The 25,205-nt window shown below is 45.1% G+C and overlaps 1 protein-coding gene and 1 long non-coding RNA gene across 8 annotated transcripts in view, besides 1 other annotated feature; one reads left to right on the plus strand and one right to left on the minus strand.

Annotated features, from left to right (window-relative positions):
* The window catches only part of CCDC149 (coiled-coil domain containing 149), a 176,691-nt gene extending 157,442 nt beyond the window's left edge, over window positions 1-19,249 (minus strand). The window contains exon 1 of one of the 2 annotated variants that reach the window (XM_011513908.3): window positions 19,114-19,179. The gene's annotated coding sequence lies outside the window, so the exon portion shown is untranslated. Of the gene's footprint in view, window positions 1-19,113 lie in introns of both variants that reach the window. The other variant, NM_173463.6, reaches the window with a different exon arrangement.
* Window positions 4,365-5,564: an enhancer, noted in NCBI's record as "MED14-independent group 3 enhancer chr4:24966942-24968141 (GRCh37/hg19 assembly coordinates)". NCBI's record gives its function as "activates an origin of replication core promoter dependent on BRD2, BRD4, P300/CBP and CDK7 cofactors, and independent of MED14, by STARR-seq in HCT116 cells {active_cell/tissue: HCT116}" and the evidence as "EXISTENCE:reporter gene assay evidence [ECO:0000049][PMID:35650434]".
* LOC102723675 (uncharacterized) overlaps window positions 13,245-25,205 on the plus strand; it is a 52,704-nt gene continuing 40,743 nt past the window's right edge. For 3 of the 6 annotated variants that reach the window (XR_007058082.1, XR_001741620.3, XR_007058080.1), the window contains exon 1: window positions 18,863-19,615. This is a non-coding gene — a long non-coding RNA (uncharacterized LOC102723675). Of the gene's footprint in view, window positions 13,877-18,862; window positions 19,616-19,908; window positions 20,064-25,205 lie in introns of those variants that run through there. The other 3 variants (XR_007058081.1, XR_001741623.3, XR_001741624.2) reach the window with 3 other exon arrangements.

Below are 25,205 nucleotides of genomic sequence, written 5' to 3' on the forward strand. Positions count from 1 at the left end.
GAGAGTTTCCCAGAAGGTAGACTTTTCAGTGCTAAAACCAAAAGAATCCTAGGCAAAGTAGAATAGTTGGTCACCCAACATAGATCTGAACAGCAATAGAATACACATTCTTCTCAAATGCATGCAGAACATGTACCAAACTAGACCGTATTTTGGTCCTTGAAACCAAATTTTAATACATTTTAAAGGATTCTAGTTCATTGGAAGATGCTGAAGGACAGAAAGAAGAAGGTGGATAGCCTAGGATCACAGGACTTGAGGAATGACATGGTGGTGGTGAGTTTCCTCCATATATTCTGAACAGGGTGCTCCAGACGCCTCCAACCAGAACCACAAATGGACACTGACAAAAAAATAAAATACCTTTAAGAAAAGCATGCTCCGCTCATGGGTAGGAAGAATCAATATCGTGAAAATGGCCATACTGCCCAAGGTAATTTATAGATTCAATGCCATCCCCATCAAGCTACCAATGACTTTCTTCACAGAATTGGAAAAAACTACTTTAAACTTCATATGGACCCAAAAAAGAGCCCACATTGCCAAGTCAATCCTAAGCCAAAATAACAAAGCTGGAGGCATCATGCTACCTGACTTCAAGCTGCACTACAAGGCTACAGTAACCAAAACAACATGGTACTGGTACCAAAACAGAGATACAGACCAATGGAACAGAACAGAGCCCTCAGAAATAATGCTGCATATCTACAACTATCTGATCTTTGACAAACCTGACAAAAACAAGAAATGAGGAAAGGATTCCCTATTTAATATATGGTGCTGGGAAAACTGGCTAGCCATATGTAGAAAGCTGAAACTGGATCCCTTCCTTACACCTTATATAAAAATTAATTCAAGATGGATTAAAGACTTAAATGTTAGACCTAAAACCATAAAAACCCTAGAAGAAAACCTAGGCAATACCATTCAGGACATAGGCATGGGCAGGGACTTCATGTCTAAAACACCAAAAGCAATGGCAACAAAAGCCAAAATTGACAAATGGGATCTAATTCAACTAAAGAGCTTCTGCACAGCAAAAGAAACCACCATCAGAGTGAACAGGCAACCTACAGAATGGGAGAAAATTTTTGCAATCTACTCATCTGACAAAGGGCTAATATCCAGAATCTACAATGAACTCAAACAAATTTACAAGAAAAAAACAAACAACCCCATCAAAAAGTGGGCAAAGGATATGAACAGACACTTCTCAAAAGAAGACATCCATGCAGCCAAAAGACCCATGAAAAAATGCTCATCATCACTGGCCATCAGAGAAATGCAAATCAAAACCGCAATGAGATACCATCTCACACCAGTTAGAATGGCGATCATTAAAACGTCAGGAAACAACAGGTGCTGGAGAGGATGTGGAGAAATAGGAACACTTTTACACTGTTGGTGGGACTGTAAACTAGTTCAACCATTGTGGAAGTCAGTGTGGCGATTCCTCAGGGATCTACAACTAGAAATACCATTTGACCTAGCCATCCCATTACTGGGTATATACCCAAAGGACTATACCCAGCGGACTATCCGCTATACCTGGATTAAGAAAATGTGGCACATATACACCATGGAATACTATGCAGCCATAAAAAATGATGAGTTCATGTCCTTTGTAGGGACATGGATGAAGCTGGAAACCATCATTCTCAGCAAACTATCACAAGGACAAAAAACCAAGCACCTCATGTTCTCACTCATAGGTGGGAATTGAATAATGAGAACACATGGACACAGGAAGGGGAACATCACACACCGGGGCCTGTTGTGGGGTGGGAGGAGGGGGGAGGGATAGCATTAGGAGATATACCTAATGTTAAGTGACGAGTTAGTGGGTGCAGCACACCAACATGGCACATGTATACATATGCAACAAACCTGCATGTTGTGTACATGTACCCTAAAACTTAAAGTATAATAAAAAAATAAAATAAATTAAAAATAAATAAAATCTTTGTAAAGTGAAAAAAAAGAAAATTTATGAATTTATCAGTTGTATACCTATAAAAACTTAAAAAAAAAAGAAAAAGAAAAAGAAAAGCATGCTCTCCTTAGCCAAAAAATTGAGAAAGAGGTGGACTAACACCTGAAAACCTTGTGGCAATACTTTCATTACTCCAGCCAAATATCAATACAAAAACACCCACAATCAAGCAGGGAGTTGATCTTCCACCTCAGAGAAGCAGGAAGCACTTTTTAATTCTTCTGCTGGGTGGTGTTAGCAAGGCCAAGTGTGGATCTAATTTACCATCTTCTGCCTGGTGGGAGTAGGAACACCAATTTCTCTGCCAAGGTAGGTCAGTAAGACTGAACAGAGAGTTGATCCTCCACTCCCCACCTGGCCAAAGTAGGTCGTTTTTCAATCACCAAAGCCAGGGTAGTGGCAGCAGCATTTATGGGTGAACAGAGCCTCCACCCCCATCCAGCAGCAATGAAACTTAACAAGGCAGTTTGGGTAGTCGCCACTAGGATTCACACACACACTCTCAGTGTCAGCAGAACCACACAAGGAGGTGAGCCTCCACCCTCACCCAACATAAACAAGGTGGTGCAAAGCAAGGTAGTTGACACTCTACTTCCTCTCTCCCCTGGAGTCAGTGGACCCAATGGGGATCTGAGTTTATGTTCCCACTCACTCAATGGCAACAAGGTGGTACAAGTCAATGTCTCACTTTTTCTGGGAAGGTGTTAGTGAAGCCCAGCAGGGAGTTGCATGCATACTTACCTAGTCATCAATTTATATCTCAATAAAAGACAATAGATACCAATACTGAAATGAATGAGATGTTGGAGTTATCTGGCAAAGATTTTAAGGCATTCGTCATGAAAATGCTTTAACAAGCAATTACAGTTTATCTTGAAACAAGTAAAGAATATAACATTTCAGCAAAGAAATGATTTATAAAACAGAGCCAAGCCAGGCACAGTGGCTCATGCCTATAATCCTAGCACTTTGGGAGGCCAAGGTAGGAGGATCCCAAGCACTTTGGGAGGCCAAGGCAGGAGGATGGCTTGAGCCTAGGAGTTCAAGGCCAGCCTGGGAAATATAGTGAGATTCTATCTCTACGAAAAATTTTTAAAATCAGCTAGTTGTGGTGGCATATGTCTGTAGTTCCAGCTACTCAGAAGTGAGATGGGAGGATCGGTTGAGCCCAGGAGGTGGAGGCTGGCATGAGAAGTGATCACACTACTGTACTCTAGCCTGGGCAACAGAGTGAGACCCTATCTAAAAAAAAAAAAAAAAAAAGAGCCAAATGGAAATTACAGAATTAAAAAATACAATAACCAAAATAAAAAGTCCACTGTATGGCCTCAGTAGTAGAATGGAGATGACAGGATAGAATCAATGAACCTAGGAACAGAATTTACCCTGTCCAAACAACGGACAAAAAATAAACTGACAAAAATGAACAGAACCAACTGTGTTCCTGGCTACTGTAAAATTAAATTTGAAACGAATGACAGAAAAATCTGTAGAAAATTCCTCAATATTTGAAACTAAATAACATACTTCTAAATAACATGGGTCAATTAAGTTAGAAAATATTTTGAACTGAATGAAACTGAAAACACAACTTATCAGAATTTGAGATACCCCTAAAGCAATATTGACCTGTGGGACAATAACTAAAGAATTGTTATTTATATCACCAAGAGACCCAGAAGGAGAGAATAGTGAAAGTGGAATTGAAAAAATGTTTGAAATACTAATGGCTGAAAACTCCCCGAATTTAGCAAAAGACATGAACTTACACATTCATGAAGCTAAGGGAATCCCAAATACAATAAACCCAAAGAAATTCATGCCAAAACACATCATAATTATTCTTCTGAAAGCCAAAGACAAATTTTAAAATCTTGAAGACAGCTAAAGATAAATGACACAATACTAATAGAACACCAATTCAAAGACAGTAGGTTTCTCATCTGAAATCATGGAAGTCAGAAAGAACTGTACTTGCTTCAAGTCTGGAAAAAAAGACTGCAAATTTTGTCTGATGAAAAAATCCTTAAGGAATAAAGGAAAAATTAAAACATTTTCAGATAAAAGAATTTCTTCCTGACTGTCCTTAAAAATGGTAAAAGGAAGTTCTCTAAGCAGAAAGAAAATGATAATAGAAGACAGTTTTGAACTTCAGAAGGGAAAAAACATTGGAATTTGGAATGGATAAAATTGGGGATAAATAAAACATGGTACTATATTAGAAGCAATAGATTACTTCTTATGAATTTCTTAAATTATATTTGATGGTTGAAGCAAGAATTATAACATTTTATGTGTTAATTAGTGTACGTAGAGAAAAACATAGCACAATTTTTTTTTAAGTGGAGAGGATAAAGAGACCTAAATGCAAGTAAATTTTCTACTCTCAGATGGGAAAACACCTATAGCAGCAGACTGTGATAAGCTACATATATATTGTAATACCTAGAACAACTACTAAAAATCTATAAAAAGATTCAAGTCATGCCAAATATGTTCTCTGACCACAGTGGAATTAAATTTGAAGTTAACGACAGAAAAATCTCTGGAAAATTCCCCAATGTTTCAAACTAAATAACACACTTGTAAATAACATGGATCAAAATTAACAATTAAATTAGAAAGTATTTTGAACTGAATATAACTGAAAACAGAACATATAAGAATTTGAGATATTCCTAAAGCAATAATTAGGGAAAAATTTGTAACACTAAACACGTACTTTAGACAAGAAGAAAGAAGATCTCAAATCAGTGACTTCAGCTTCTACCTTGAGAAACTCGAAAAACAAGGGCCAATTAACTGAAAGTAATCCAGGACTACCTCCCTGAAAAGCTGCGCTCTAGTCAGGAGTAGGCCGAAGCGGCCTTCTGACACAGCATGACTCAGCAGGTTTGGAGTGCAGGCGCAAAACCCCGCACGTTATGTAACCATGCCATGTGAGGTGCATTAGGTGATCACCCACGTAAGCTCATGCTTGGCTTGGAGCCACTATTATCTGTAAATTTATAATTACCCTGCTAATACTGTACATATGGCTCAATTACAGCCAGAGAGAGAGTAAAGCCATGTCAAAACTGTCTACGATTCCTCAAGTGTTTTTCCAGCTACCCACCACTTGCCCACCGACTCCCCTCGGACCTCAGTTGGAACCTAACAATTGGCATCACAAACAGGATCCCGAGCTGTTGCAGGTGAGTACGTGGTTGGCACAAGGGCAACGTGACCACACCCTGGTTGAGTGGCTATGGGCAGCTATATAGACTGTGTGGAACGACACTGGTGAAATACCCAAAATCATGAGTAAATGGCAGTCATATGCCAAATTGGTGCAAGTCATCCAGGAAATGGGTATGCGGCAGGCTATGTTTGACCTGAATACCCAGGGGCCAGATGATGAACGTGTCACCTCCCACAGAAGGGATCTCATGTGGGGTTCTGTGTCCCCAAGTGCCTTTGGCTCCCTAGCTGTTGTCCTTACCCCATATATAGGGCACCACATACATGAAGTGACCACTGCTATGGTGGCTCTTGGGCAAGCAGAAGTCTGTCAGTGGGACTGAGGGGTCTGGGATGTAAAGAAGGGGAAGATGCTCCACCCACAGTGGCCCCCTGACAGGAGAAAGGAGGGCCCCAACAAGTGACACACTCACAGATGTGGATAGATTTGATTTTTGTCAGGGTTGACCAAGAGAAAATCGGTAAGCAGTTCAATGAAATTCTCTTAAATTTGTGGAGACAGTTGTCTCTGGAGCAGCAATTTCAGAAAATGCCCAAGGGGGAGAAGGACATTGCTGCATGACCTGGTCCTGCCCAGGCACTTCAGTTCAAAGACAACTTGCTGCAGCCAGGTAGAAATGTAGAGCCTTTTCTGTTTGATTAGGGAACTGGCCAAAGTGCCTAGCTTTGGGGAAACACTGGGCGACTGGAGGCCACATGTGGAATTAGCAATCCACTGGTCCCCCACCAATGTGCGGTGGGTGCTGATGCTGGTGGATACTGGTGCAGATTGCAGCCTCATTTATGGGAACCCAGATAAGTTTCTGGGAAAACCTGCTTTCATTGACAGTTATGGAGGACGGTCAGTGAAAGTGAAACCTGTATCTCAGCACCCTGACATCGGCTGTTTGGCTGCCTGTTTATATACTGTGTATGTCTCTCCCATACCAAAATACATTCTGGAGGTGGATATTTTGCATGGCCTGGCATTACAAGCCATGGCCAGGGAATTCGGACTGAGTGCATGTGACGGACATATGCATCACCAGCCTCAGGTCCTGCCACAACCACGATGGGTTACTTCCACCCATCAATACCATTTGCTGGGTGGGTATACAGAGATAACTGAGACAATTAAAAAGCTGGAGGAGGTGCAGAAAATGTGTGGCACCCACAGCACCTACAATTCTCTGGTGTGGGCAGTTAGAAAGCCTGATGGAACTTGGCAGATGACGGTGGACTATCAGGAACTGAATAAAGTAACACCCCCTTCGCATGCAGCTGTACCATCAATCATGGATTTGATAGCCAATTTGATGACAGAACTGGGACAGTACCACTATGTAGTGGACTTGGCCAACGCATTTTTCTCCACAGACATCAGTCCAGAGAGCCAGGAACAGTTCACCTTCATGTGGGATGGGCAACGATGGACTTCTACAGTGTTGCTGCAGGGCTATGTGCATAGCCCCACCATATGTCATGATCTAGTTGCCACAGACTTAGTCACCTGGCAATGTCCAGAAGGGGTCTAGCTATTCCATTATATTGATGATATTATGTTAACCTCTGATTCTCTTGCAGATTTAGAAGTGGCGGCGCCCCTCTTGCAGCAACATTTGGCAGCATGTGGTTGGGCTGTCAATGAATCCAAGGTCCAAGGGCCTGGATTATCTACCAAATTCTTGGGAGTTACTTGGTCAGGTAAGACAAAGGCCATCCCAGAGGCTATCATTGATAAGATTCAGGCATATCCCAGGCCCACCATGGTGAAGCAGCTGCAAACTTTTTTGGGCCTCCTGGGTTACTGACAGTCATTTGTGCCCCATTTAGCCCAGATGATAAAACCACTGTATTGGTTAACAAAGAAGGGAGTTATCTGGGATTGGGATGATGCAGCTGAGACTGCCTTCCTGGCAGCCAAACGGGCTATTCAACAGGCATGAGCCCTACAGGTCGTTGACCAGGGGCTCCCATTTGAGCTGGATGTGCATGTGACCACAGATGATTTTGGTTGAGGCCTGTGGCAGTGCACGGGGTGCTTGAAAATGCTAGGAGGCTTTTGGTCCCAACTATGGAAGGGAGCTGAGCTCCAGTATTCCTTGAAAGAGAAACAGCTAGCACCTGTATATGCCGTCCTTGAGGCTTGTGAGAGTGTGACAGGATGGGCTGCAGTCATTGTGCAGACGACTTACCCAATAGCAGGAATGGATGCATTCACGGGTAACAAATTCCCAGACTGGGACATTGCAGACATCCACTTTGGCAAAGTGGGGTACCTACTTGGAGCAGCAGAGTACGCTGAGTACAAGTCCCTTAGCAACAGAGTTGTAAGAGGTCTTGGGACCTGTAGTCCTAATGCAAGATAAGGCCATGGGGCCCGAGGCACCCCTAGACCCTGAGCCTTCGCCATTTAAGGAATTGGGTCCCCTCATTCCCAGTGGGTCATGGTACAAAGATGGGTCTAGCCAAGGTGTTACTGCTGCCTAGACTGCTGTTGCAGTCCAGCCTAGTACTAACACCATACGGTTTGAAACCAGGTGTGGACAGAATAGCCTATTGGGCAGTATGGATGGTGATCACCAAGGAGGTGACACCTATGGTAATCTGCACCGATAGCTGGGTTGTCTATTGGGGCTTAACCTTGTGGTTAACTACCTGGAAAATACAGAAGTGGCTAGTTGGCCACCAACCCATTTGGGGGCAATCCATGTGGTACAACCTCTGGGAAATAGGTCATCAGAAAGAGATAACTATTTATCACGTGTCAGGCCATATTCCTTTGGCCACCACTGGCAATGATGAGGTAGATGCCCTGGTGAAGGTCCAATAGTTAGAGCTGGCACCTACATGAGATATGACCTTGTGGCTACACCAGAAACTGGGACATGCGAGGGGTAAACTGATGAGACAGATCAATAAGCATTTGAGCCTGTCCCTGCCCATGCAAGACATTTGGGAGGCTTGTTAGAAATGCCTGGCATGTGCTCAGGCATACCCTAAACAGAGGCAGCTGCCCAGTGTTACACAAGTAACGATAGGGTGAGTGCCCTTGACCAGGTGGTAAGTAGACTAAATCCAGCCACTGCTGAAGTCACAAGGGTATATGCATGCGCTAACAGCTGTGGACACAGGCCTGTTGTTCATCTACCCTTGCAGGGTGGCCAACCAACAGAACACCATCTGGGCCCTGCAACATTTATGTGGCCTGTATGGTTGCCTTCTGGCCATTGAGAGTGATAGGGGAACACATTTCACTGGAAAACAGGTACAATAATGGGCACAACAAATGGACATAAAGTGGGGATTCCATGTGCCATACATCCTACAAGCCCCGAGTATAATTGAGCGATATAATGAACTCTTGAATAATGGGTTACCCTCATATGTCACACCCCTGTCTTTGCAGGGCTGGAGTTCCAAGCTGGACCTGGTGCTCCTAACCTTGAACGAACGGCCACAGAAAGGCAGCCAGACCCCAGTGGAGGCTTTGTTACACCAGGGCACTGCCCCCACTCAGTTGCAGATACATTCCAAGGATGACCTCCTTCGACCAGGTATGGGGACGAATGGTAACCTGCTGGTGGCTGCTCCAGCTCCCCTGAAAGCAGTGGAACAGAAAACCTGGCTGTGGCCCTGTACCCTCCAAGCCTGCACAGCCAGTGGTTGGCCATTGTAGCTCCCTTGGGGGAGGGCCTACAGTGTGACTTGCATTTCACTCCTTCGGTGTTCAATACATGGCCCCTGCAGTTGACTGTTCATAGGGGAAAGGCCAGGGAAAGAACTCTCCTCTGGGGGACATATGTACTGTCTGTGCCACCTATTATGAGCTCCCCATGACTTTGGCACAGATACAGGACTCAAAGGAACCGTGGGGAGCTGAGGTGTGGTTTTGCCCATGGCAAAAACCCTTGGTGGCTGCACTGTTATCCAGGGATGAAAGGTTAGCCTATATTTTGCCTGAGGGACGTGCTTTACCTCCATCAGTATCTGTGCCTACTCAGTCATTTCCGTCATAGGTTAACATGCTCCAACTGCATTGTGGACTCAGCCCACACCTACACTGAGATGACCGGTGTTTCCAGCTGTTGGATCTGCACCACCTTTCCAGCAACAGCTGTGGATGGCTGGCCTCGGCACATACATTCAGCATCTGCAGACAACTGCACATGGCTGGAGACTTGGACACCTGTGGCTGATGCCTGGAACGCAATGCAGCAAATTTTGGACAAAGGACACCTCAAGACCCAAGGTGCACCCACCCCCTGGCTAGCCTGTAGCATTTATGATGGGTGGGGCTGGCTACTGGGGGGACGTGTAGTACCTCCAGCCCAGGCATCATGGTGCACTGAGAAACACTGGGGTAACACCACTGAGGAGTGGGTACCCGTCATGGCTTGTGTGAACATAACACATGTCACTACACCAAAGGTATAGTGACAAGGTGGTGGAACAAGAAGCCCCACCAACATCACGCCCTAATGGATTTTGTGCCCCCTGGCAGTCTATGGGTCTGTAGTGACACAGGGTGGCCTTACCAACCAGTGGACTGGACTGGATGTTGTACCTGGGGGTGGCCTCATGTACCTGGCACTGTTCTCCCCATGTTGCCCAGACTCCCACATACCTGGGAGGCACTACTCTCTTGGGTTTTGTGAGTGCAATGAGCCCCCTGGTGGTCCTACCCCTTGGCAATGACTATCCCTGGAGTGGGTGTCAAAACTGTAGAAGCACAAGTTACTGCTCTTGCAGAGCACACCACCAGGGCTCTGAATTACACCCGAGTGGCCCTCATCCTGTTATGGATGAGGTTGATCAGATGAGAAAGGTGGTGTTGCAAAACTGAATGGCCTTTGACATAATAACTGCTGCCCAAGGAGGCACCTGTGCCCTTTTAGGAACACAATGTTGTACCTTTATCCCTGACAATTGGCAGAATATAACAGCAGCCCTGCAAAGGGTCTCATGGGAGATTAAGGTGGTCAAGACCCTTACTGACGACCCCCTACAGAGTTGGTGGGCATCTCTAGGCTCTGGCCTATGCTGGGTCCTAATAGTCATAAGTAGCATAGCTGGGATCCTAGTAGTGAGTTGTTGCTCTCTGTGTTGTTGTTGTGGGTTATGAATTCAGGGCTCTGCCCTATGGGCTTGTGTCCTTGCCCGGGGGACGCCCTCGGCCTGGGAGGTGGAGTATGAGGGAGATGACTGCACTTTAGTCAGGAGTAAGCCAAGGCAGGCTTCCAGTGCAGCATGATTCAGCAGGTTAGGAGTGCAGGTGCACAACCCTGCACATTATGCAACCTTGCCACATGAGGCACGTTAGGTGGTCACCCACATGAGCTTGTGCTTGGCTTGGAGCCACTATTGTCTGCAAAAGGTATAATTACCCTGCTAATGCTGTACGTTCGGCTCGCTCCTGCCCAGGGAGAGAGTACAGCCATGTAGAAGCTGTCTATGATTCCTCGAATGTTTTCCCAGCTATCTGCCACTCACCCACCAACTCCCTTCCTCTTGGCAAGGACATTCTAAAGTTAACCTGAAAAACAAACTAGTTCAGCCCATGATGGGAAGAGGGGGCCAGATATGCCTCATTATACCATCCTCTCTTTTAGAACTACTGATAGAACAGACTCTTTAAGTCTGATAAGAAACATTTACAATCTATTATCTTTGAAACATACTACCTAGAGGCTTCATCTGCATAATAAAACCTTGGTCTCCACAACCCCTTATCATAATCCAGACATTTCTTTCTATTGAAAATAAGTCAACCAGTTGCTGATCAAAAAATCTTTAAATCTTCATGACTTGGAAGCTCTCACTTCCAGTTGTCCCACCTTTCCAGAACCAACCAAGGTACATCTTACACATATCAATCGGTCCCTTATGTCTCCCTAAAATATATAAAACCAAGTTGTGGCCCAACCACCTTGGGCACATTCTCAGAATCTATGGAGGACTGGTCACTCATTTTCACTCAGAATAAATCTCTTCAAACATTCCACAGAGTTTGACTATTTTCACAGACAGAGGGAAGGATGACAAAGGGACACAGGAAAACCCTGGCTATCATGAACTTGTTTGCTGTGTTGATTGTGGTTGAGGACTAAATTCTGACCTTTTTCTTTTCTTTTCTTTTCTTTTCTTTTCTTTTCTTTTTTGAGACAAGGCTCTCTGTCACCCAGGCTGGAGTGCAGTGGTGCCATCTCAGCTCACTGCAGCCTCAACCTCCCTTGCTCAAGCCATCCTCCCACCTCAGCCTCCCAAGTAGCTGGGACTACAGGCACGCACTACCACGCCCAGATAATTTTTGCATTTTTTGTAGAGATGGGGTTTTTCCGTGTTGCCCAGTCTAGTCTCAAACCCCTGAGCTAAAGCAAGCCGCTCCCCTCGGCCTCCCAAATGCTAGAATTACAGACACGAGCCACCACGCCCAGCCTTTTTTCCTCTCTTGCCCAAATTCCTAAGAGGCCTGGGGAGTCACACACTACAAACTGTAAAATCTCATCAGAGACATTTTATTTAAACCTGTCTAACTGACTGACTTTCCAATCTGACCCTGGCATAACATCACATGACAGATAAAGAAGGAAATCAAAACATTTTACCCCAAAGTATGTTTATTTGTCACACTTTGAAATAGCCTGCAACTTTGTTTTTGTGGTGGAATTGCATCTGTAACGAATCTCTGTTAACTAGATATTTCCCCTTCCAGACCCTCCCAATCCTGAAGGGACTAACTGAGGGTCTAGCACTTTTTAAGGGTTTGAGCAGGAAACATTCACCATCTTTTGCCTGTAAGGGTGGGCACCCATGAAGCTTCATCTATGTAACAAGAACCTTGGTTTCCACAACCCCTCATCTTGACCTAGACACTCTTCTATTGATTCCAGGTCTTTAGATAATAACTTAATTCTTTTAATCAATTGCCAATCAGAAGATCTTGGAATCCCCCTATGACCTGTAACCCTCCCCTTCAAGTTGTCCCACCTTTTCAGACCAAACCAATATATACCTCACATGTATTGACTGAAGTCTTATGTCTCCCTAACACATATAAAAACCAAGCTGTAACCCAACCACCTTGGGCACATATTCTCAGCACCTCTTGGGACTGTGCCTCAGGCCTTAGTCACTCATATTTGGCTCAGAATAAACCTGTTTAAAAATTTTATGGAGTCTGACTCTTTGTGTCGACATGGTGGTGGTCCCATGGGTGTACACATATGTCAAAACTTATCCAATTGTACACTTTAAGTATATGGAGTTTACTGTATATCAACTGTACCTCAATAAAGTGCATTTAAAAAAAGTCTGGAGAAAAAGAAGTCCCCTTTTGTTTGCACTTGGAGCTGTGATTAAGCATGCCTGAGGCTACTGGCAGCTATCTTGACATTGTGAGGAGAAAACATGCTTGAGAGTGAGGCCAACCCAGAGGATAAAAAGAACTGAAAAAGGCCAGAGTTAGACCAGATTCCAGCCATCCATCGGTACTGGATCCAGCTGTGCCTACAGCAGTCTCTGGAATTTTTGCTCATTGAGACAATACGTGTGTGTGAGTGTATGATTAACCCGGTCTGAACTGAGTTTTGTTGGTTACAACTGAGGAGTTCTGTGCAACGTTATCCACAGTCCACCAGGCAGGCTGAGAGCTGCTTCTTAACCAGCAAGTGCCTCATGGAGGGATTGGGTTTGGGGTTATGGAAGTGAACAGAGCTGCCTGCCTTAAGGCAAGTAGGCCTTGCTCTGTTCCCCTTGCAGTCCCCGAGCCCGGGAAGCCCGAGAGGGAGCCCTTCAGTGCTTGTGCACTCGGCTGTTTCGCAAGAGTCACGGTCAGTTGCGCCTCTGCTTCGGAAGAGTATTTTTAGTGGCAAATAAAGTGGTGCGCAAATAAACAAACGCCTGGAACAAATCCTGCAAAGGAGAGCGCCTGTGTGCGGCCCACTGTCTAACTAGGTCAGCCTCGGGCACAGCTCCTTTTGACAGTTTGCTCCCCAGGGCGGAAGGTGACCCGCAGGTGCCGGCTGCTTTCCCCACCAATCAGCCATCTGTGGTTTGAGACTCACAAGCTTAGGAGAGACTCGGGAGGCATCAGTTCCGCATCCCGCACTCCCACGTGAATTTGCCCCCGCCCTGAGTCAGAACCCTAGAGGGGTGAAATCCCTGAATTCTGCAGAGGAAACCCATACTTCTTTGCTTTTTCAGCAATTCCAGGAGATGTCGTTTTTCAAGTGGCAAATGTGTGGCTCTAGAGGACAGAGTAACCACCTTGCAGCCAAGAAGCCCTGATGTCAACTCCCAGCTCTGCTGCAGCACCCAGAAATCACCGGACCTTTCTGCATCTTTCTGGGTGACTCTGTCATGAGGATTTCATAATGTAATTCCCTAGCACATAAGAATTTCTCAACCAATATGGCTTTCTTTTTTCCTTCTCACTAGTCTTTGAGCTTCTTAAAGGGAAGACATGTCCTATTCATCTCTACACCCCCCACACCAGTCTGCATTCAGTAAGTGCTCAATCAATGTCTGCTGAATCACATCTTCCCACTCAACTGCATGGCCTCGGATGATCCAATTCTGTGGGACTCAGGGTCTCCCTGATTCTGAAGATCTCCATTTCAGCCACCCCATCCTGGTGCTTTTTCTGGAGAGACTGGGAAAAAGGTGAGCAGAAGAGAATAGAACCAGGAGAGGGAGTGAAAGAGGGGTTGAAAGGGGGTTGGGGGAAGGAAGGGGAGGGAAGGGAAATGCTATAGTTTGAATGTGTCCCCTCCAAAATTCAGATGATGCCAATGTGATAGTAGGAAGAGGTGGTGCCTGTAAGAGGTGATGAGGCTGTGAGGTTTCCTTCTTTGTTAATGGGATTAAAGGTCTTATAAAATAGGCTTTGCGCAGCATTGCACTAGCTTGCTCTCTTGCCTTATGCCATGTGAGGTTGCAGCAAGACGCCCCTCATGAGATGCCAGCACCTTGATCTTGGACTTTCCAGCCTCCATAGCTATGAGAAATAAATTTCTGTTCTTTATTAATTACCCAATCTCAGGTATTCTATGATAACTATTCTGTTATAGCAGCACAAAACAGACTAAAACAGGAAGGGAAGGGAGGAAGACAAAACAGAAGATAGGAGAGAAAGGGAAAAGAAGGGAGGCAAGACAAAAGGAGAAGGGGGAAGGAGAGGGAGGGGAGGGGAGGAGAAGGCAGAGAAGAGGAGGGGATCTTGAGGGGAGGGGAGAGAATGTAAGAGGGGAGGGAAGGAGAAGGAAGGGGGAGGAGGGGGACAGGAGAGGGAGGGGAGGGGAAGAGAAGAAAGCGGGGAGGAGAGGGGACAGGAGAGGGAAAGGAAGGAAAAGTAGGATAGGGAAGGGAAGGAGAGAAAAGATGAAAGGAGAGGAGAGGGGAGGGGAAGAGAGGAGAGGGAAGGGGAGGAGAGAGGAAGCATACGTCCTGGGGAAGGAGCTCATTGATGGGGCTTGGGTCCATGCCCATCCCTGAACCAGTCACTGTGCACTATCACTAAGTCCCGTGTCCACCCCTGCAACCATGAAAGTAAACACAGTGTCAAGGGTGGTCCCCCAAAGAAAGGAGAAGTAACGGGTCCCAGGCAAGCAGAAACCACAGATGTCTTCTCTGCCAATCCCGCATCTGTCTTTGAATTTTGTAATTAGAAATGAGTTTTTTTTTCTGATCAGGCCCATCATTTAACTCAAGCCTGGTTGGGGGTCCTGGGAAGGGCAAAGTCTGTGTTCCAGTGTGGTCCATGCATACAAGGAAGAGAAAAGAAGAGAAAAGGAGGGTAGAGGAGGAGAGGGGACAGGAAAAAGAAGGAGAAGGGAGAGGGAAAAGAGGGGAAGGGAGGGAAGGAGAGGGAGGGGGGAAGGGAGGGAAGTGGAAAAGAGAGGAAAGATTTGGTGGCAATCATTTGAGCCCCGTGTTTAGCTGTGCCTACTTTAGATTTTTCAGTTATTTGAGCCAATAATTACCTTTTTCCTTAAATGAGTTTAATTCTTTTTAAGAGTACGTGGAGCTCAAAGAGATCCTTACTAATCTATCTGGGCCCCTTAGAGTAATTCCAGGGTCCATTTATCAAGGAAAGCAACATGGAGCACAGGCAGAGTCCCCCACTTGAGGCCATCTGCAGGTATCCTCCTTGCTTGGGCACTGTGTGGCCCTGGAACCAGGCCTGTGTCAGGGTGAAGGGCTGGAGAAGGTGGAAATGGGTATAGAGGTATCACCAGGACATTTATCCAAAGTGTGTCATCAGGCTGGGTGCGGTGGCTCATGTCTGTAATCTCAGCACTTTGGGAGGCTGAGGCTGGCGAATCGCCTGAGGTCAGGAGTTTGAGACCAGCCTGGCCAACATGGTGACACTCCATCTCTACCAAAAATACAAAAATTAGCTGGGCATGGTGGTGCATGCCTGTAGTCCCAGCTACTCAGGAGGCTGAGGCAGGAGAATTGCTTGAACCCAGGAGGCAGAGATTGCAGTGAGCCGAGATCGTGCCACTGCACTCCAGCCATCTGGGCAACAGAGCGAGACTGACTCCCTCTCAAAAAAACAAAAAACAAAAAGTGTGCCATCATCTGGCCTGCGCTGGTATAGTGTCCTTTCTGAAGGATGTTCCCAGAAGTGTTGTCAGGTGTGTGCAATGGACTCCAGCTCTGGAGCCAAGCGGGGATTTGGAAGCTATGTGCGATTGTGGAGAACATCTGGCCGCTAGAGGAGTGTGCATGGACCACACTAGAACACAGGCTCTGCGCTTCCCAGGATGCCTATCCAGGCTTGATTAAAGGATGGACCTGATCAGGAAAAAACAAACAAACAAACCTCATTTCTAATTACAAAATCCAAAGACAGGCATGCAGGATTGGCAGGGAAGACATCTGTGGTTTCTGCTTGCCCGGGATCCATTATTTCCCCTTTCTTTGGGGGACCACCCTTGATACTGTGTTGCTTTCATGGTTGCTGGGGTGGACATGGGACTTAGTGACGATGTACAATGACTGGTTCATGGATGGGCATGGACCCAAGCCCCATCAATGAGCTCCTTCCCCAGGACATTGGCTGGAGCTTTGGGAAAGAGGTATTCTTTTTCCATCGAGGACTCCAAGCTGGCAGGTTGGAGATCCTCTTAGCTATCTTGTGTGGAGATGCTGCCTAAGATCTACTAAGCACAGACAAAAGCAGAGCCATGCGTCAGGAAATATCCATTTCTCCCTTGATCCAGCCATTCCTGAAACCACGTGCATTCATTTTACAAACTAACATTTCACTCCCCAACACCTCTGTTATTTATAGTTAAGCCAGTTTGAATCAAGTCTCTGTCATTTGTGGCCAAACAAATCCTAATTAATATTATCTGTGAATCAACAAGCCTGTCTAGCTAATACCAGATGTTGAAGATGATAAAAAAGATGATGTCGTGGACCCAAATGAAATACCTAAGGTGTGGTAGAAGGCGCCCAGCACTGGAGTCCAGCTCTAGTCCCAGCCCTGCTACCCCTAAAGAGGATAAAATAGCTTAACCTCCCCTAAGGCATTACCAATACAGGGATGATAATACCACATAGGTCTGCCTGTTAGGAATATTGACCAGATGATAATATGCATGTGAAAGCATTTTGAAATTCAAAAGCTCAATACACACATAGTAACAAGGTATGCTATAAATCTATGCTACCTGGCTGGGCACAGTGGCTCATGCCTGTAATCCCAGCAGTTTAATAGGCCAAGGTAGGAGGATTGCTTGAGGTCAGGAGTTCAAGTCCAGCCTGGGTAACATAACCACAATCCCATCTCTACAAAAATAAAAAATTAACTGGACTTGATGGTGCACACCTTTAGTCCCAGCTACTCAGGAAACCGAGGCAGAAGGATTGCTTGAACCCAAGACTTTGGGGCTGCACTGACCTATATTTGCACCACTAACTCCAGCCTCAGTGACAGGGCAAGACCCTGTCTCAAAAATAAATAAATACATGAATAAATAAATCTGTGCTGTCCAACACAGTAGCTACTAACTACCTGCTGTTACTGAGCATGTAAAATGTGGCTAGTCTGAGCTGAAATGTGCTGTAAGTGTAAAACACACATCAGCTTTCACAGACTTGATTTTTTTAAATAATATAAATATCCTATTAATAATTTTTATATTAATTTCATATCGAAAGGATATTTGTGATCTACTGAGTTAAATAAAGTACATTGTTAAAGTTAATTTCATCTGTTTCTTTCCCCTCATTTAATGTAGACACCAGGAAATTGTAAGTTGCATGTGGTGGTTTGCATATGTGGTTCACATTCTATTTCTGTTGGCAGCACTTGTCTAAATTGTGAGGGATGGTTCGTTGTTGGCGTGGGAGGTCAGTGAATTCTGGAGGAGTCAGAAAAATCAGAAAAACCTCAGATGAAGAGACAAGGATGGGGGTAGGATGGCATTTGGAACCCATTCTCCATGGTTGTTGTCTCTAATTTTCCCTGTGAATAAAATGAACAGTCTTCCCTTTCCCCATCATTCCTCCCACCATTCGCCACCCACCGCCCACCAGAGAATGAGATGGTTTTAGCATCCTGTGTGCTTTTCACAGCTGAAATGCTGGCAATTTTGCCACAGATTCAGATCTACTCGGACTCACTGGTTTCCTTTGGTAAAATGCCCCATATCCAGAAGGGAAGTCTGCTGGCTTCTCTGACCTGGGCGTGTCTTTAGGATTTCTCAATAGGATGACATCTGTGGCTGGTTGTCCAACACTCATGGCTCCCTTCTGGAAGCGGTGCACTTTGTTCTTACCCTGAGTTACCCCGAAAAGGAGACCCTGAGAAGGACTGCATGCAAATGGTTTGGGGGCACAGGAATTGCAGGGAACACTTTGAGAGAGCAGGGAAGTGAGACAGGGAACAAATGGAAGCCAGTAAAGGGTGAATTAATGAGGCCACCATGGGGGACATGGATTCAGTGTCTTGGGAAATACCTTGAGAAATACTGTGCAGCATATCTCCTTACTGTCCCTGTGTAAGGAACCTGGGATATTTATTAACTAACTTTTATTCCTTAGTATTGAGGGTCAATCTTGGGGTGTTAACTTTCTGGTATTTCCAGCTTGGGTGTACACCACCAGGAACAGGGAATGCCCTCAGACAGAAAGATGCAGGCAATCTTTGAAGTATACAGGAAATGTCTGCAAGTGATCTTCAGGATAGGCTGCAGGGAAATGGTCAGAGCACAGACAGGGTCTGCTATACCTTAGAAGAAAGAGAGAAGACATGGAGAGAAGTGGGGTCCTTGGCAATAGTCCTGATCTACTGGATCAAGCCTTACTTGAAGCCTACCTCTAGACTTGTCATTACCTGCCCCTATATATTCCATATGCTATTTAAACTGGTTTGAGTTTTCTGTTATTCACAATGTAATGATTTCTAACTCAGTCTTTTCCTAACCTGGTTCCTACAATTGAGCAGATTCCCTGTGGTTTCAAAATCAGGAAACAGGGCTGATGGGTAAGTCATGTCATCATTTCCTTCCTGAAACCAGAGTGCAACGGAAAGAAAAGGAGGAGTTGCATGGGATGGTGGCCAAGTTCTCATTGTGACCCAGGGACCATTACAGTAAAAGGAACCTGCCTAGGGAACTTGCTCAGCTCTCTCTAAACACAGTCAGCTCCATGTTCCCAACTGAATGTCACGTCAATGCGTCGATGTTAATTCCGGTAAACTGAATCCACCCGAGAATCTTGTTGTGGAAGCAAAATCGGCTTAAAAGGCTTCTTTGATGCACAGGGAATTCTCACAAGCAATAAATTAAAAATAATCAACGAGTTATTTTATATAATCTGTATATAATATAAAGTAATTGTGTCCATAAATAACGAGGCAGTTAAACAGGAAAAGAAAGGATTTTTACCTGACGTTCACATCGCTTCACAAGGTTTAGTGGATTCAGAAGGACATCTGGACTCCAGGAAAATTTAAGCGTAGCATTTTGAGACTTCCCTAAGGCCCCCTTCTCTAGTACGCAATCGCGGATTCACCAGCTTGAGTCAGTTGGCCTCAGTTTTGCTTTTGGAGGTTTAAGTCGGGTGGTGGGAAGAGATACATTTCCATTCCTGATATGGCCACAAGAGGGAGCTCCCAATGGTCGGCTGCACCTGAAAGTCCTGTCCGTGAAAACTGACAAAGAAAACTTGATTTAAAAGGCGTCTTCTGATAAACCTCAGCATCTCCTTACTAACATACTAAGAGCAATCACTGAACACTTTTCGTATGTTCAATGCGTCCTCGCGGGATCTGAGAAGCATTGTCCTATTAAATCTCAGTCGTCTGATTTTCAGCATCAATTTATCTTGGGAGCTGCTCCTGCATTTTATAAGGTGAATTCTACAGCAACGAGATTAAAGATTCAGAAAGTGAGTAAAGTTAACACTGAGCCCTTGGGCCTGGTAAATTGACAACGGAGCCAGAATAAGTATTTACCATTGTAAAGCTCTGATCCTCATGGCACAGTTGTTTCTGAAGAATGCTACCAGCACTTCCCTGCCCTGCATTTGTCTGGCTTTTTCCATTCATATTTGAATCGATTCTCTCTCTCTCTCTCTCTTTTTTTTTAATTATTATTATCATTTTCCAGGGACTTTGGGTCATTATAAGATTGCAGGTAATGACAGACTGTAATTAAGCCTAAAACAGATTTTTCTTTTAGGAGACAGAAGAATCCACTCTAGCTGAGACTCCAGATTGCCTGGGCTGTAATTTACGGTGCTATCACAAAGGGGTCCTTTTTCCGCATGGTGCTCTGCGGTGATGAGCCAGAAGCTGAAGCTGAGGGGTGTGTGACTCTCCCGCACACTCTCTGGAGTGAGCAGAATGGACGCTTAAATGGCTAAGTATAGCTTGAAACTGATTACAGGCCAGATCCCACTATTGTGCATCATCAGTTGTCATTGTTGAGACTGAAATTGCACTGGGATGTTTCTCTTTGTCACCGGCTCCAAGCTCATTTCTAGGACAGGAGTGAAACCGTATGGTGAGCCTCGGGCCCAAGCACAGGGAGAATTGTTCTTCTGGTGTGTCCCCCAAGGAAGAGCTTGGCAGGTCTTTGGCAGTGGAAGATGGGCTGGCTTCAGTCATGATACCTATAACATTGGTATTGCTAGGGCTTCCAGATTTATGGATAGTAAACTCTAATCTCTAGCAAAGAAGGTTGAAATTGTAGCTCTTCCTCAGTTGCTGTGTGAACTTAAGCAAGCAGCTTAACTTCTCTGGCCTTAGTTTTCTTATCTGTACAACAGAACTAATTATAGTTACTCTCTGATATGGTTTGGCTGTGTCCCCACTCAAATCTCATCTTGAACTGTAGCTCCTATGATTCCCACGTGTTGTGCGAGGGACCTGGTGGGAGATAATTGAATCAGGGGAGCAGGTCTTTCGTGTGCTGTTCTCATGATAGCGGACAGGTCTCACAAGATCTGATGGTTTTATAAAGGGGAGTTTCCCAACACAAGTTCTCTTGTCTGCTGCCATATAAGACGTGCCTTTCACCTCCCACCATGATTGTGAGGCCTCTCCAGCCACATGGAATTGTGAGTCCATTAAACCTCTTTTTTTGTAAATTGCCCAGTCTTGGGTACGTCTTTATCAGCAGTGTAAAAATGGACTAATACACTCTCCTATTCTCAAGGTAGATTTGCAGAGCAATGAAATGAGATATATGAAGACCCCAAGATATATATATATATATATATATATAGATAGATAGATAGATAGATAGATATTCACACACACACACATACACTCAGGCACTGTACACACACATGCACAAACATAATAGGCATAGAAGATATAGAAACTACCCATATGCCCATATGTATTATTATGGGTATGTGTGTGTGTGTGTGTGTGTGTGTGTGTGTGTGTGTGTGTGTGGTTTCTTGGTAAAAGCACTGGGGTAAGACTATGGAGCGTTCATATGCTAGGAGATGAAGTCTGGACCTGACTGCATAGTAACGATAATAATAATAATCTTGCATTCAGGGCTTATTGTGAGCCAGGCACTGTTCTAAGCTCTTTGCATGTATGAAAGCAGCGGTTTTCAATAGAAGCATTATCAGCATTCAGGCAGAACAATTCTTCATTGTCAGTGGGACTGTCCTAAGCCTTGTGTGATTACCAAAGGTCTCTCAAGACCCTCATCATCTCTGCTAACGAAAGGCAGCCCAACTCCCCTGCACTTTTAAAAACACCCAGCTGAGAACCAATTGCCTAAGTATAGATATGTACTCTCCAATATGGAAGCTACTGGCCACGGGTGGCTATGAATGGCTTGAAATGAAGTTAGTCTGAATTGGAGTGTGCTGCAAGTGGAAAAAAAACAAACACTGGATTTTGAAGATTTGGCATGAAAAAAATCGTATTAATATTTTAAAAGATTGATTACATGATGAGATGATAATATTTTGGATAGATTAGAGTAAATGAGGTATTTAAATTCATTTCACCTGATTCTTGTTGCTTTTTTCTTTTTTCTTTTTTTTTTTTTTGAGAGGGAGTCTCACTCTGTTGCCCAGGCTGGAGTGCAGTGGCGTGATCTCAGCTTACTGCAACCTCTGCCTCCCAGGTTCAAGCGATTCTCCTGCCTCAGCCTCCTGAGAGCTGGGATTACAGGCACCTGCCATCATGCCTGGCTAATTTTTGTATTTTTGTAGAGATGGGGGTTTCCCCATGTTGGCCAGGCTGGTCTTGAACTCCTGACCTCAGGTGATCCACCTGCCTTGGCCTCCCAAAGTGCTGGGATTACAGGCGTGAGCCACTGCACCCTGCCTCTTGTTGCTTTTTTGATGTGGCTACTAGAGAATGTTAAAGGACAGCCAGAGCTTGCATTTGTGGTTTGTGTTCTATTTTTATTAGACAGTGCTGGAATGGACAGTGGGATGCTGGCAAGGGCTTTTGAGCCAAAATGGTGTCAGAGTGACTGTGGGGGACACTGCTCGGCCAGCCCAGCCAATATTCGTTTCTGTTTCTTCTATACTAGCAAAATCCTGATTGTATTTGTGATGGTCTTGTGTTCAAATACTCTGCTCCTTAGATCCCATGTAACCTAGTTTTTGTCAAAAAGCATAAATGGAAGTCAACTGGGTGGGCCATCTGGGGAAGCTGTTGTTAACATGAGAAAAAGACTTGGCTGACATGTGCCTTTTGCCCTTTGCCCTTCCCTCCTTTTGCTGCTTGGAAAGCAGACACAATGTCTGAAGGTAGAGCAGCCTCTTTGGGACCATGAGGTTGACAGTCATATTATAGGAATGGTGAAAGGAGGGAGGAGTCTAGTTCCTTAAGTAGGACTCTTCATTATGTGAGCAGAATAAACACCTCGTTTGGTTAGGCCACAGTAGTCGGATTTCTGTTACAAGAGTTGAACATGAGCCTCACTGATCATTATGGTTTCGTTTTGAAGTCAATGCACTGGATGTTTTTGCTTTTCAGTCTGTCTCAAGCATTTGAGCATCTTAGCTAAGTTTGGGGAAATTCTGACGTTAAGAGTTGGGCCTCCACATGGCAGAACTCAGAAACCACCAATGGCCAAGTCCCTCATGGCATGAGGCTCTGCCAGTCAGTATTCGATTCCGAGAAACTGGAGAAGAGGATCTAGTGTTTAGCCCCAATAGCCTTTTAATAAACTCCTTGTCTGCTTAGCCAGCCCAAGCCAGCATCAATTGCCTGCAACCTAGAGCACTAATGGCTGCAGCTGGGAGTTAGTAAAGGCCCTGCTCCTCAACAGTGTCTTATTAAAATCCTATTCCCCAGGAAAAGACACATGAATCCTTAACTTCTCAGCAGGAAACACTGCTCTGAGATCAGGCACTTCCTTACGTTGGAAGGGCATTGTAATCTGTGCCATTGGCAAAATGCAAGACAACTCTTATTATCCCCACTTACCTCTGTCTCTGGAGGCTGCTGCAGTGCTGGGTTTACAGGGTGTATTGACAATCACTTTTTGAATTCAAGTTGCTTGCGAGGAATCTGGGTAGACCAAACCTGGGTAGGGAAACACAACGAGTGAGGAGTTGCTGGAATGCCAGTCATCTGCCTCTGGATGGAGTGTACTTCCCAGCACACCCCTCTGCTTCAGCCCAAGAATGTTTATGTAGAAGTGAGACCACCTGGATTCAAATCGTGGCACTAATACTTACCCGCTGTGTGTGATCTTAGGGAGGTTACTTAAGGTCTCTGAGCTTTGGTTTCCTCCTCTCCAGGGTTAAAGAGTCTGTGAACTGTGCAGACACTTAGGGTCTCCCCCACTTGGCAATGTTCCCTACTTAGTTTCATGCTTTGCTGCTACCATCTTAAAATTTGTAATAATTTTTAACAAGGAGCCCTGCATTTTCATTTTGTCCCAGGACATGTAAGTTATGTAGCCAGTCTTGCTTCTCTATAAATTGAGAATACTATTTATCACAAATATTTGCAGTGAGAAGTAAATGAGAAAATGTCTTTTATGTGCTTTGCCAAGTGTCTGAAACTAGTATGTTTTCAGTGAATGATGGCTGTTCCATGTCAGCGCAGCTAATTTTCTCACAGCATCCTCCCTGGCAGGCTAAGCTCCCTGCACCCCCTTTACTAACCTCCATGTACTCAGGGCCCATGTGAGGACAAATTGGACACCCGCTGCAGCATCAGGAAGTGGGAGACCTTAAGGAGCCAAGAATTCCCAGAAGTGAGATTTTTGTTTCAGTTCTTTCCAAATATAAAGGCATTTGAACTTCCCCTGTAACTTTGATGCTGCAGATGGAATTTCCTACAGGATTCTAAGGTGAGAAATCCAGGTCATGTGATTAGCCAGAAACGCCACAGGCTCATAGCAGAAGCTCCCAGACGGTTCCTTCTAAAGCACTGACACTTGTCTGCACTGTGAGGTTTGGGGATTAGACAGACCTTTCCTGAATACTCCTTAAAATCTTCTGGGCCTCACCTCTTATTCCAGCCACTACTGCAGTGACCAGTTCCAGGCTGACTTTGACCAGCTTTGTGCAGGTGCAACTGGACATATTTACTGGGATTCACCACACACCTCTGTCCTCCTGTCTTGGGTGAACATGCATCCTGATGCTGTCATATGGGGCACCCCTAGAGCCTGCCTAACCCAGAAAAGGGGGAAAGTAAATGCCTGCAAGGCCACCCCTGGCCAGTGGGGGATGAACACTAATGGATAAATGCTTCCCTTTTCATCCCCTTGCCTGCAGCTCCGAAATACATCAAATACAGCCACTTAGAAGATCCCAGTGGGATGCTGAGGCAGCAGCCCCTGTAGCACAGGCCAACTTGTTCCTCCTCCTGTTTCTCACTCCAGCTCCCGTGGATCCTCCTCTCCAATAGTCAACCCCATGCAACAAAGCCTTTGCATAAGGCCCTGCTTTCCTGGGATCCCAGGCTAAGATGACCCCCTAATCTTCTGAAATGAAATACATTTACAATATGACATAACCTACCTCCACACAATGTAATGCCATAATTGAATTTTGATAGATAAATGAAAAGGAAATAATCTTAAAAATAATTAAAACGTCCCAGCAGAACTCTACCAGAAAACCAAGGGAGCAATCAAAGACACTGACCCCTTTGCATGGAATCCCTATGAAAGTGACTTCGTGGCAAGAACCCTAGAAGGAGGGTCAGAGGACCTGGTTGGAGTAACCAGCTCTACCATTAGCCTCCTGTATCATTTGAGTCCTTTTTTTCTAGGCATCCATTTTCTCAAGGATGGTGTGGCATTGAACTGTACGCTCTCTAAGGACCCTTCCAGATTGATTTCTATATGATTTTCTTTTTTTTTTTTTTTTTTTTTTGAGACGGAGTCTCGCTGTCGCCCAGGCTGGAGTGCAGTGGCGAGATCTCGGCTCACTGCAGGCTCCACCCCCTGGGGTTCACGCCATTCTCCTGCCTCAGCCTCCCGAGTAGCTGGGACTACAGGCACCTGCCACCTCGCCCGGCTAATTTTTTGTATTT

The sequence above is a fragment of the Homo sapiens genome, chromosome 4 (assembly GCF_000001405.40).
Source record: "Homo sapiens chromosome 4, GRCh38.p14 Primary Assembly".
Taxonomy (NCBI): Eukaryota; Metazoa; Chordata; class Mammalia; order Primates; family Hominidae; genus Homo; species Homo sapiens.